At 41.5% G+C, this 12,853-nt stretch overlaps 1 protein-coding gene across 5 annotated transcripts in view; it reads right to left on the reverse strand.

Annotated features, from left to right (window-relative positions):
• KIN (Kin17 DNA and RNA binding protein) overlaps positions 1 to 12,853 on the reverse strand; it is a 37,032-nt gene that overhangs the window by 17,902 nt on the left and 6,277 nt on the right. For all 5 annotated transcript variants that reach the window (NR_045609.2, XR_930485.3, NM_012311.4 and 2 more), the window contains 6 exons: positions 11,401 to 11,444; positions 11,193 to 11,315; positions 9,975 to 10,156; positions 6,888 to 6,936; positions 5,968 to 6,028; positions 353 to 482 (listed from right to left, as the gene is read on the reverse strand). Coding sequence is in view for 3 of the 5 variants with exons in the window: in NM_012311.4 (NP_036443.1) it covers positions 353 to 482; positions 5,968 to 6,028; positions 6,888 to 6,936; positions 9,975 to 10,156; positions 11,193 to 11,315; positions 11,401 to 11,444 (589 nt within the window). In the remaining 2 variants the exon portion in view is untranslated. The remainder of the gene's footprint in view (positions 1 to 352; positions 483 to 5,967; positions 6,029 to 6,887; positions 6,937 to 9,974; positions 10,157 to 11,192; positions 11,316 to 11,400; positions 11,445 to 12,853) is intronic.

Below are 12,853 nucleotides of genomic sequence, written 5' to 3' on the forward strand. Positions count from 1 at the left end.
AAAATTAGCCAGGTATGGTGGCAAGCGCCTGCAATCCCAGCTACTTGGGAGGCTGAGCCAGGAGAATCATTTGAACCTGGGAAGCGGAGGTTGCAGTGAGCTGAGATTGTGCCACTGCACTCCAGCCTGGGCAACAGAGTGAGACTCCATCTCAAAAAAATAAAAAACAAATAAATAAATAAACCTATTTAGGGGGGCTCCAACTCCAGTTCGGGGAACTGTATGTAGCTAGGTCACTATTCCCTAGTCCGTACATGATAATTTTCCTAATTTTCTATTAATCTAATAAATGGTGAAATGATTTAATTTTCCTTGGGTTCTAAGGTGTCCACACGCAATCCATAAACTGTACCTCCATGATTTCATCCAGTGCAGATTTCTTTTTCTTCTTTTCTTTAGACTGAGTTGAGCTCTGGGAAGATTCTTTTCGTTTCACTGATGCTGAACTTCCTATCGTCTTCAGTGCACTCGGTCCCAGAGTACTGATGAACAGGAGAACCATGCTTGTTACCAAGAACCATACACAGACGAATGCTTTACGATGTGCAAAATTCACAATATAGAATAAATGTGTGACATAGTAATTTACAGGAGATTAGTGAAAACCATGGAGTCCCTGTCCACATCTCTTACAGAACCATCAGCACTGTGTGAGCATTTAACCCGTGCTATCTTTAACTCTCTGTACCTATCAGCACTGTGTGAGCATTTAACCCATGCTGTCTTTAACTCTCTGTACCTTCTCCTCACTCCTTCGGTCACTGCTACTATACTTTGTATAGTAGAATGATGGTAGGCAGCTTAGGTTTTGGTGTTGAGCAGATCAGGGTTTGAGGCTACTTCTATTAGGACTTGGAGTAGTTCACTTTCCTAAGCCTCAAATCTTCATCTATAAACGAAGATAATAACATGACCCAACTCTTAACCCAAATGCAAGAATTAAATGACATGTTTTCAAATGACCGGTTTAAGTCTAGCACGTTACTCTCAGTTCTGGTTTTGTAAAGCAAAGTTCTCAACGTGTTACTTAAAAGTTTTTAACTGCTCCCAACTGCCCAGAGTTAACAGTGTAAATCCTTTTTTTTGAGATGGAGTCTCACTCTGTCGCCCAGGCTGGAGTGCAGTGGCGCGATCTTGGCTCATTGCAACCTCCGCCTCCCAGGTTCAAGCGATTCTCGTGCCTCAGCCTCCCAAGTAGCTGGGATTACAGGCAGCCACCACCACGCTGGGCTAATTTTTGTATTTTTAGTAGAGATGGGGTTTCGCAATGTTGGCCAGGCTGGTCTTGAACTCTTGACCTCAGGTGATCCACCTGCCTTGGCCTCCCAAAGTGCTGGGATTACAGGCGTAAGCCACCGTGCCCGGCTGACAGTGTAAATTCTAAATTCTTTACTGCCAATATACAACTGTCACCATTGGCCCCAGAATACCATCCTAGTCACCATCCCTGACTTACTATGTACACCAGTCACTAAGAACAATTTGCTATTGACTGAGCCATGCCCTATGCTTTCAGCCTCTGAAAATTTGCACATGCCTTGTTTTATACCTAAAATAATCTCTCCTTTTATCTCCATTTGTTAAAATTCTTTAAGGTCCATTCATGAGGGTTCTTGGATCTTGCAGTGTTTTGAACTGCCACAGTACCTTGTGGCATGCATCACACTGCACCTTGTATGATAATCATTTGTATGTACGACTCCTCTCTTGTAGTAGGGAGGAAGCATCTATTTTTTCCTGCAAAGTAGCAGTAACTATCTTGTAACTCACATTAAATAGATGCTCCATTAATACTGGCTGATCAAATGACTTTTACCCATCTAATTATTTAATGTGTCATATTTACAAAAGATGAAGCAAAGGATAAATATTTACACAAAGCTATCATGGAGCTAACCAAGAAAAAAATATATGATTAGTAGAGAATACAACAGATTTATTATTTTCCTTTATTTGGACTTTAAAAAGTGCATTTAAAGGTAGCCTTAGATTGATGAACTGCTGGGTTACTTTAAGCTTGAAGTCAACTAAAACCCCTACTTCTTTTCTCTATGGAGAATTGTAGGTAAGGACTCTGTCACTCTGTTTTTATGGGGGTTGTTTTTCTTTACCTAACTGTCAGGCTTTCCATTTACCTTTGTAAAATTTTACTCACTGGGTTTTGACCTGTAATTCAACCCACTGAACATATATTTAAACTCTGGTTCTATTACTGAATGCATTGCCCAGGGTGTGACAGCTATAAATAATGGACATGGGTTTTGAACAGGCCAAATCCACGTAAGATAAGCTCCTCAACTTGCTACTTAAATGTTCTTTAGATTTAGGTGTACTTTGAACTAGGGATCCAGGGATAATTCAGATCATAATCAACTACAATATGTCTACAAAATAGGCACTAATAACCCTAGCAAAAGAGGAGTTAGGATTAAGCAGTTATTTTTGGCTTGAGGGATCACCACTTCCTCGTCTCATGTTCACAAACCACCTACTTCCTATCATAATCTGTTGGAAATGCTTATTAATCTATTGTTTTCTAAAGACTTTTCTCCACTTAAAAAAATATATTTGCTTATTTTTCTGCCTTCTGACTCCTCTACCAATCTCCATGATACCTCAGAGGTTCTCAACAGTGAGTCCCCAAATATTAATACATCTATAAATTATTTCAGTATTTTGGTATTAATCTCAGCTTAGACACTTGAGTTTATTTAAGGCTATTATTTACTCTTCTTAAAACTCAACTGGGCCGGGCGCGGTGGCTCATGCCTGAAATCCCGGCACTTTGGGAGGCTGAGACAGGTGGATCATTTGAGGTCAGGAGTTTGAGACCAGCCTGACCAACATGGTGAAATCCAGTTTCTCCTAAAAATACAAAAAAATTAGCCGAGCATGGTGGTGCATGCCTGTACTCCCAGCTACTTGGGAGGCCGAGGCAGGAGAATCGCTTGAACTTGGAAGGCAGAGGTTGTGGTGAGCCGAGGTCATGCCACTGCGCTCCAGCCTGGGCAACAAGAGCGAAATTCCGTCTCAAAAAAAAAAAAAAAAGAAAGAAAGAAAAAGAAAATTTACTCAGCATCATTAAATGCTTAGAATGTGACAATAATGGGGAAAAAGATGATCAGAAGAGCCCAGCAAGATCTCAGGGTGATGTAAAGGGCATTCCAGGAAGGGGAGCAGCAGATGTAAAGGCAAGAAAGGGCGAGACCCTAGGCTCATTTAGGAAAGCACAAATCAATGAGCACAGCTGAGAGCAAACGGCAGGAGACATACAGGATCACAAAAGTCACTTAATAGTATGTAAAAAAATTCGAGGTCATCTTAGAGATGCTGAAACCAAGAGATGTTAATAAATGAGTGACACGGTAAGAGCTGAAGTTTAGAAAGGTCCTTTTGCTGGCAATATCAAGATTCTGTTAGAAGGGTGAGAGACTGAGACAGGGGTAAGGCAGAGTTAAAATAAAATCAAGGCAAGATATGAATATGAGCAGAATGAAAATGGAAAGTAAGGTTCCTTGAACAGCCCTCATTTTTGCTTTCAGTAACTAGAGTGAATTCTAGCCTTTCTCAAAGGAGATAAAGAAGCCCAAAGGAGAAATGGAGATGAAAATCAAGTAAACTGTTTCAAGCAATAAGGGGGCTCATTTTTGTGCCTCAACATAGCCTAAAATGTCCACTTTGATATCCACATCATTTAGTTTTTCTAGGTTTTAGATATATAAGAGATATAAATGCACAGGAGAATGAATCCCAAACTATATTATGTACCATAATTTCAGAGAAAAAACATTTTAGATGTCTTTCAATTGTATTACCCATGACACTACATTCTTATACAAATATTGTTCCTTATTCATGGACTCGGGTCACAACATATTAACATAGATAACTTATCAAATAAATTATCAAAATTGGTCAAATAAAACTAATATTTTTGCTAATATCAAGGTTTGGCATAGGGGTACAGCAGGCTGTATAGACCCCCAAAAATGTCAGGTCCTTATCCCTGAAACCTATCAATGTTACATTATCTAAGAAAAGAGTCTTTGCAAATGAGAGTAAGTTAAAGATCTTGAGATGAGGAGCTTGGCCTGGATTATCAAGGTGGACCCTAACTACAATCATCCCTTTTCTTGTAAGAGCAAGGTGGAGGGAGATTTGACACCTGGAGGAAAAGGTGATGTGAGGATGGGGCAAAGAGACATTTGAAGATGCTCGTCTTAAATACTGGAGAGATGCAACCATGAGCCAAGTAACGCCTGCGGCCAACAGAGCTGGAAAAGGCAAGGGACAGATTCTTCCCCGGAGCTCAGATTCTTCCCCAGAGCACAGCCAGCAGGCTCCTTGATTTCAAGCCAGTGATACTGATTCAGAATCTGGCCTCTAGAATATGACCTCAACATATTTCTGTTGTTTTAAGCCACCCAGTTTGTGGTAATCTGTTACAGCGACCATAGAAAACTAATACAAGGGAGGTCAATTGGGGAACACTGGAACCAATTTTAACATCCATCTACATCTAGGAATAACACATACTTCAAAAGAACAGACAGAAATGCATAAAGTTCTAAAAGTATAAGGCATGTGTGTTATATTTGAGCCGATCTTCCAGGTCATATCATGCCAATGTTAGACAATTCTTCTGGAATGTACCCAGATGTAGAACCCAAATAACCAACTTCTTGATGATATCTAATGTAGGTGTTAATTTTGAAACATTATTTTGATCAAAGTTAAGACATCTGGCAAATCATTTTAAAGTTGATCTATATTGCTGATTCAGCCTACCTATCTCCTTCCATACTCCTAGCCACTTATTCAATAGTGTAAATAAACAATGACCTACAAACAAACCCGAAAAACTTAGATCTTAAAAAAACAACATGTAAAGTACTAAGTAAAATAGAAAATATCATCTGGCTTAAAAGCAAATTCCAGTAGATACTGGTACTTGACTCTCTTGTCTTACTCATCTTTTTTAACCTCCATAACAAAACTGAATGTACTGCATGTCAGAAATAGTGAATAAAGATTTGGTGAAAGAATACATAAAAATTGCAAGAGAAGATAATGTAGAAAGTAGGTAGAACTACCTGACCACATGCTATGCCAGGTTTTGGCAAACGACAGCCTAAGGGCCAAATGCCAGCTGCCACCGGCTTTTGTAAATAAATGTACTGGAACCCAGCCATGCTCAGTTCCTTCCTGCACTGTCCATGGCTGCCTTCTCACTACAACAGCAGAGTTCAGTTATTGTGACAAAGACATCTGGCCGAAAAGCCTAAAATATTTACTATGTGGCTCTTTACAGAAAAAGTTTGCTGACCCCTGCCCTGTGCTAGACTACCTAGAAGGGCGGGCAATGACTACTGAGTGTTTCCTGGTGTATTTACACTGTACTGGGGACGAAGGAGAGAGGTTGATAATCTCTATTCTCAGAAAACTCACAATGCAGCAAGTAAAAGAAAAATGCAGATCCAGCTAACATTTAAACTGTGACAAGTGGGCTAAGACAGGAAAAGAAACAGTTTTATATAGCGAATAAGGAACCGTTAAATGGAGAAGGATTCATGGAGAAGCAAAAGTTTATTGATGTGAAACATATAATCAAAATGAGGCTTTCCTCAAAAAACACAATCATCTCATAACAGGCAAATAGGAAAAGAACAGTTGCTAGCTGGGCACAGTAGGGCGTGCCTGTAATCCCAGCTATTGATACCTGGGAGGCTGAGGCAGGAAGATCACCTTGAGCCCAGGAGTTCGAGGCCAGCCTGGGCAACATAGCAAGACCCCATCTCTTAAAAAAAAAAAAAGAACAATTGCTAAAAAAACAACGCAACCAATAAAAACCAAAAACAGGTGAAAACTACAACTAGAAAAAAATGATTCACAATACTTTAAAATACAGTAACCAATATTTCACAAAAATCCTAATGTTTTAAGATATCCGTGAATGATGCAGCTCACCTTGACTTGGAAGATGTTGCTCCGGATGAGCTACATGCTCCTTTACTCAAATTAAACGTGACTAGAAGAAAAAAATGTTATTCCATACATACATTTCAAGAAAATCATAATAAAACTTCTCAGATAAGATACTACAAAGTGTTCACAGAGGAACTCCAGGACATTTTCAATAAACGAGAGCTAAAATGTTCCTATACGGAGACCACACATTCCTGTAAAACGTCCCACACTGAAAGCCATAGAACAGGAGGAACTTGCACACCGTGTCACCGTGGCAGACCACACCGGCGCTTCCCTGCTCTATCCCCATTTCCCCTGGGGAACAGTACTCCAATTCTGTTTAGGTCTCCACGCCTCTTGCCTGTGGCTCAGGGGACATAACACCATTTTCATCTCTGGGGTGAATTCTGATTGTCTAATCCAATCAACATAATCCCAGTGACTGCTTTTTGAGTGGACATGTGACACAGTTCTGGCCAATGACATTTGAAAGGAAATCTATTGAAGGGAGGAGTGTCTTCTTGGAAAAGTATCCTTGCTCTTAACAAGATTCTAGAAGAGCATCCAGAGATGCTCTCTGCCATCCTCACGACAATGCAGAATCTGCATGTGACGGCTGGAGTGTTGGCAGCTACCCTGTGTCTAGATGGCATGCAGAACCACCTTACCTCTGGGATTCTTATTATGGCAAGATATTTCCTTATTGTTTAAGTTAATTGTAGTCAGTTTTGTTACTTGTGGCTTCAGCTATCCTATCCAATCAATTCATTAGTATTACCTTTTCATTAAATTAATAAGAACAATGTAACTCAGACACATTCGATGTCTTATTCTCAGATATGTTGACAAGTTGCATTTTTAACAAAGCCAATATAAAAGCATCTATGTTTAAAAAAAGAAAAAATAAAAAATAAAACTACCTTTCTCTTCATCATTTTCTCTGCTTAATTCCGTAAAAGTAGGGACCTCCTAAAAAAAAGAAAGTTTTAAGGTTTTGGTGTACATTGCACTTACTATCACCATTCAATAGGCCTAAATTATGACTTGCTACCTGTGTTCCCAGGCAGCTCTAATACGCAAGTGATTAAGATCCTAATTAAGAAATTACATGCTTTCGGCCAGGCGCGGTGGCTCACACCTGTAATCCCAGCACTTTGGGAGGCCGAGGCGGGCAGATCATGAGGTCAGTAGTTCGAGACCAGTCTGGCCAACACAGTGAAACCCTGTCTCTGCTAAAAATACACAAAAAATTAGCCGAGCATGGTGGTATGCACCTGTAATCCCAGCTACTCAGGAGGCTGAGGCAGGAGAATCACGTGAACCCGGGAGGCAGAGGTTGCAGTGAGCCAAGATCATGCCACTGCACTCCAGCCTGGGTGACAGAACGAGACTCCATCTCAAAAAAAAAAAAAAGAAATTACATATTTTGGCCCAGTATGGTGGCTCATGCCTGTAATCCTAGCACTTTGCGAGGCCAAGGCAGGTGGATCACCTGAGGTCAGGCATTCGAGATGAGCCTGGCCAACGTGGTGAAACCCTGTCTCTACTAAAAATACAAAAATTTAGCCGGGTGTGATGGCGGGCGCCTGTAATGCCAGCTACTCAGGAGGCTGAGCCAGGAGAATCGTCTGAATCCAGGGGGTGAGTGCTGCAGTGAGCGGAGATCGTGCCACTTCACTCCAGGCTGGGTGAAAGAGCGAGACGAGCCTGGCCAACTTGGTGAAACCCCGTCTCTACTAAAAATACAAAAATTAGCCCGGCATGGTGGCGGGCGCCTGTAATCCCAGCTACTTGGGAGGCTGAGACAGGAGAATTGCTTGAACCTGGGAGGCGGAGGTTGCAGTGAGCCGAGATCATGCCACTGCCCTCCCCAGCCTGGGTGACAGAGCAAGACTCTGTCTCAAAAAAAAAAAAAAAGAAAAGAAATTACATGCTTTGGCTGGGCATGGTGGCTCATGCCTATAATCCCAGCACTTTGGGAGGTCGAGCTCAGGCAGGAGGAATGCTTGAGGCCAGGAGTTCGAGACCAGCTTGGACAACATTGCAAGAGCCCCCCATCTCTATTAAAAAAAAAAAAAATTAGCCAGGCATTGTGGTGCACACCTATAGTCCCAGCTACTCATATGAGGCAAGAGGTTCACTTGAGCACCAGAGGTCAAGGGTGCAGTGAGCTGTAATCATGCCACTGCATTCTAGCCTGGTGACAGAGAGAGACAGTCTCTCAAAAAAAAAAAAAAAAAAAAAAAATAGAACTTACATGCTTTGCAAATATTATCCAATTGAGAATTATTCTAAATACCAAAAAGCAGCTTTTCTATGCCAAACTGCAGAAGTTTACCTATATTTTTATTTCTATTACAACTTAAACAGGAAGTAACAAAAATATAAGGCAATAAACTTTAGGAAAAGCAAAAGCTTTTTTTTTTTTTAAGTCTGTTCAAGAACAGACTAAACTAATGAATAATCAATCGTGGTATACTGGAACAATGGTTATGTCTGGGAGATGGGGTATTAATTGGCAACGAGCATGAGGAAACCCTCTGGGATACTAGAAAAGTTCTATATCTTTATCTGGGTGGTGGTTCCACAGGTTTTCTGTCACTCTTTCTACACACGTATATTTGTAAAAGTTCAGTGAACTGTACACCTAAGATTAATGCACCTCATACACTTTAATCAATGTATGTTAAAGCTCAATAACCAGTTCAAAAAACACTCAGTTTCACATACACACCAGGCTATATTTGCCTGCTCACACACAAGTGTTAGAATGTAAGCCACAGGAGGCAGGGCGTGGTGGCTCACGCCTGTAATCTCAGCATTTTGGGAGGCCCAGAAGGGCGGATCACCTGAGGTCAGGAGTTTGAGATCAACCTGGCCAACATGGTGAAACCCCGTCTCTACTAAAAATGCAAAAAATTAGCTGGGCATGGTGGCTTGTGCCTGTAGTCCCAGCTACTTGGGAGGCTGAGACACGAGAATCGCTTGAACCCAGGAGGCGGGGGTTGCAGTCAGCTGAAATCGCGCCACTGCACTCCAGCCTGGGCGACAGAGTGAGACTCCGTCCCCCCCCCAAAAAAAAAAAAAATGTAAGCCACAGGAGACAGTTTTCTGTATCTTTTGTTCACTGAGTATTCCCTGTGCCTACAAGAATCCTGGCACAGCGGAGGCGCTTATAAATATATGTTGAAATAAATGCCCCAACCTAGTTATTCTAACACCTCAGCTCCTTCCCTCCCCATTCATCTGGCTTGCACCCACTGATTCTTCAAGACTCCTGGGCACTGGGGTTGTATCCACCCTCAAATACTCTGTCCTCCCCAGGCCAGAGTAAACATTGCTTCTCTATGTTTCCACATGCTGCATTTACCTCCAGTACTGAATTAATTATAATCAGTTGAAATTATCTGTGTATATGTCTTCCCATTAGGTAGCGTCTCTATTTAGATATAAGGAAATTGAGGTTTGGAAATATTATGCAATTATACAAGATTATGAAGTTAGTATGTCAGGAATCAAACCAAGGTTTGTCAATGCCAAAAATGTGCTTTTGACACCAGGCTGGTTCTCCTCTTAGTTCAGGAACAGTGCCCACAGAACTTGATTCAACGCTGAAAAGACACAAGCTGGCTGGGCACGGTGGCTCACGCCTGTAATCCTGTAACTTTGGGAGGCCGAGGCGGCCGGATCACGAGGTCAGGAGTTGGAGACCGGCCTGACCAACATGGTGAAACCCTGTCTCTACTAACAATACAAAAATTATCTGGGCGTGGTGGCGGGCGCCTGTAGTTCCAGGTACTCAGGAGGCTGAGGCAGGAGAACTGCTTGAACCTGGGTGGCAGAGGTTGCAGTGAGCTGAGATTGCGCTACTGCACTCCAGCCTGGGCGGCAGAGCAAGACTCCATCTCCAAAACAACAACAACAACAAAAACAAAAAAGAAAAACCAAGCCATTGTGCTTCTTTAGACCTCTGGACGTTGCTTCTCAGGATGATGTTGCTTACCCACCTGTTCCTTCCCTTCCAGGCCTCTTCTCACTTGCTCTTCAATAAATTTGGCAGTTTTTTCTTCATCATCAAGGTCCTGCTTTTTCTTTTTCTCCAGTTCCAGTTGCCGGCGGATAGTTTCTGGGTCCCTGTCTATGTACTGAATATACCAGCCTTTTGGTGTCTCGTCCACTTTGCACAAGCCTTAAAAAAACAGCCACTGCCATAAATTAGCATACAATCAAAGCAAAACATAAATATGAATGTGTTTCACCTCTGCATATTTATTCATTCAAACACACACAAATCAGGCCGAGCGCAGTGGCTTACACCTGTAATCTCAGCACTTTAGGAGGCCAACACAGGTGGATCACTTGAGGTCAGGAGCTCAAGACCAGCCTGGCCAACATGGTGAATCCCATCTCTACTAAAAATACAAAAATTAGCTGGGCGTGGTGGTGCACACCTGTAATCCCAGCTACTCAGGAGGCTGAGGCAGGAGAATCACTTGAACCCAGGAGGCAGAGGTTGCAGTGAGCCAAGATCCTACCACTGCACTTCAGCCTGGCAACAGAGCGAGACTCAGTCTCAAAAACAAAACAAAACAAAACACCAAATACACTAAAACACATTCAAATACACAAATTCATGCAGCAAATGGGATTTTCCATATTTATATTTAATGAAATTTAGATACTGTATGTGAATTCAACCAACCGTGGGTGAGAAATATTCAAAAAAAGAAAAACGGATGGTTGCATCTGTACTGAACATGCACAGACATTTTTTCCTTCCCATTTTTCCCTAACAATAGAGTATAAAAACTATTTACATTGTATTAAATATTATAAGAAATCTCGAGATGATTTAAAGTATGTGGGAGGATGTATATAGGTTACATGCAAGTGCTACATCATTTTATTTTATATAAGGGACTTGAGTATCTGTGAATTTTGGTTATCAGCAAGGGGTCCTGGACCCAATCCCCCACGGATACTGAGAGACAACTGTATTACCTTGCATAGTATTTATTCAGTTCTATCTAAGTATTTAATGTCCAACAGTTATATGATGTTCTATTAACTTAAGGCAGAAATTATGCTCCCAAAATGGAATCAACTAACACGATGAAAAAGCAAAACACTGACCCAATTTTTTTTCTCTTTTCTTATCCCAAACATCTCATCCTATGAAGATTAGAAGTGGGAAAGAAAAAGCAACTTTAAAATCTCATTCTTACCTTCTCTGCCCAGCCACTTAGTAAAATCAGTCAGAGTTTCCCACTGAGTGGCATTCATGTGGATGTGCTCTCGGTGGCTGATGTATTCGTTGTAGACAATGTTGTTGTGGACCCTTTTAGTGCCTGAGAACAAAATATGACACTGATGATCATCAGAAGATTATGCCATTTATAAAGCTGTTATTTGCACAATATTTAAAATGTTTACCAAAGCGTCTCCTGAGAAGTTCTAGAAAGTCATTTCGGAATTCCCTAATAAAGAAAGAAAGGAAAGCATTAAGGTAATTTCTACAAACATATAGCATCATCTTTTTGAAATTTAAGCAGTAGTACAGTTTTTTGTTTTTGTTTTTTTTGAGACAGAGTCTCGTTCTCGTCACCCAAGCTGGAGTGCAATAGTGTGATCTCAGCTCATTGCAACCTCCACTTCCCAGGTTCAAGTGATTCTCTTGCCTCAGCCTCCCAAGTAGCCAGGATTACAGGGGTCCACCACCACGCCTGGCTAATTTTGTTTCGTATTTTTCGTAGGGATGGGGTTTCACCATGTTGGGCAGGCTGGTCTCAAACTCGTGACCTCAGGTGATCTCCACCTGCCTCAGCCTCCCAAGGTGCTGGGACTACAGGCGTGAGCCACTGCATCTAGCCAGTAGTATAGTTTTAATGTCCAAATGATATGTGAAACATCTACATGAATATGGCTATGAACCTTTAAAAACTGATCAAGGAAAGAACTCCAAAATATTATAGCTTTTAAGGATTAAGTTAAAAGTCAGTTGGGAGTTGAAATTTTTTGTCTTGGTAAAGCAGTCATAGAAACAGTTACCACATACCTTTGGAATGGGTCCTTCATGAAGTCTGTTAGTGCCACTGATGGTGGCATAATGACCCCAGTCTATCTATGACAACAAAACTGCCCTGATTCCACATGAAATTGGCACTTAATATGTCCCTCTGAGCTGGGTACACCGTATTAAGTGCTAGATAAACGTGGGTGAATAAGACATAAATCTTAACCTTCAAGGAGGTTACAATCTAGCATAACCAATCATAACAAAAGTTAAACTGAAGAAGAAGTGTAACAAAATACCATTGAAAGAGTCACAGGAGATGCCCAGAGGTGATTTCATTGTGGTCAGTGAAGGATAAGTAGAACCCTAGAGGTGAACTGCAAGAGAAAGCTATTTCCAGCTGGCACAGAAACATGAAAGCCTCACAGATCTGAGAAATGGCCTAATTTGACTAAAATTTATGGCTGATAAAAATGAGAGTGAGAGTGAGGGTAGAGTAGAATAAGGGAGACGAGGTGGCTGGGAAACCAAAATAAGGTTTGGCTAATTTTTGAAGTACCCCGAATGTCATGCGAAAGAGGCTGAGTTTTGTGCAGTCAATAGAAAAGCATTAAATAATTTTGTTTGGCCTGGGTATGATGGCTCATACCTGTAATCCCAGGACTTTGGGAGATCGAGAGAGGAGGATCACTTGAGCCCAGGAGTTCAAGACCAGCCTGGGCAACAAAGTGAGACCCTGTCTCTACACACACACACACACACACACACAGAATCAAAAAATTAGCCAGGTGTGGTGGTGTGCATCTATGTTCCCAGCTACATGGGAGGCTGAAGCAGGAGGATCGCCTGAGCCCAGGAGGTCAAGGTTGTAGT

The sequence above is a fragment of the Homo sapiens genome, chromosome 10 (assembly GCF_000001405.40).
Source record: "Homo sapiens chromosome 10, GRCh38.p14 Primary Assembly".
NCBI classification, from domain to species: Eukaryota; Metazoa; Chordata; class Mammalia; order Primates; family Hominidae; genus Homo; species Homo sapiens.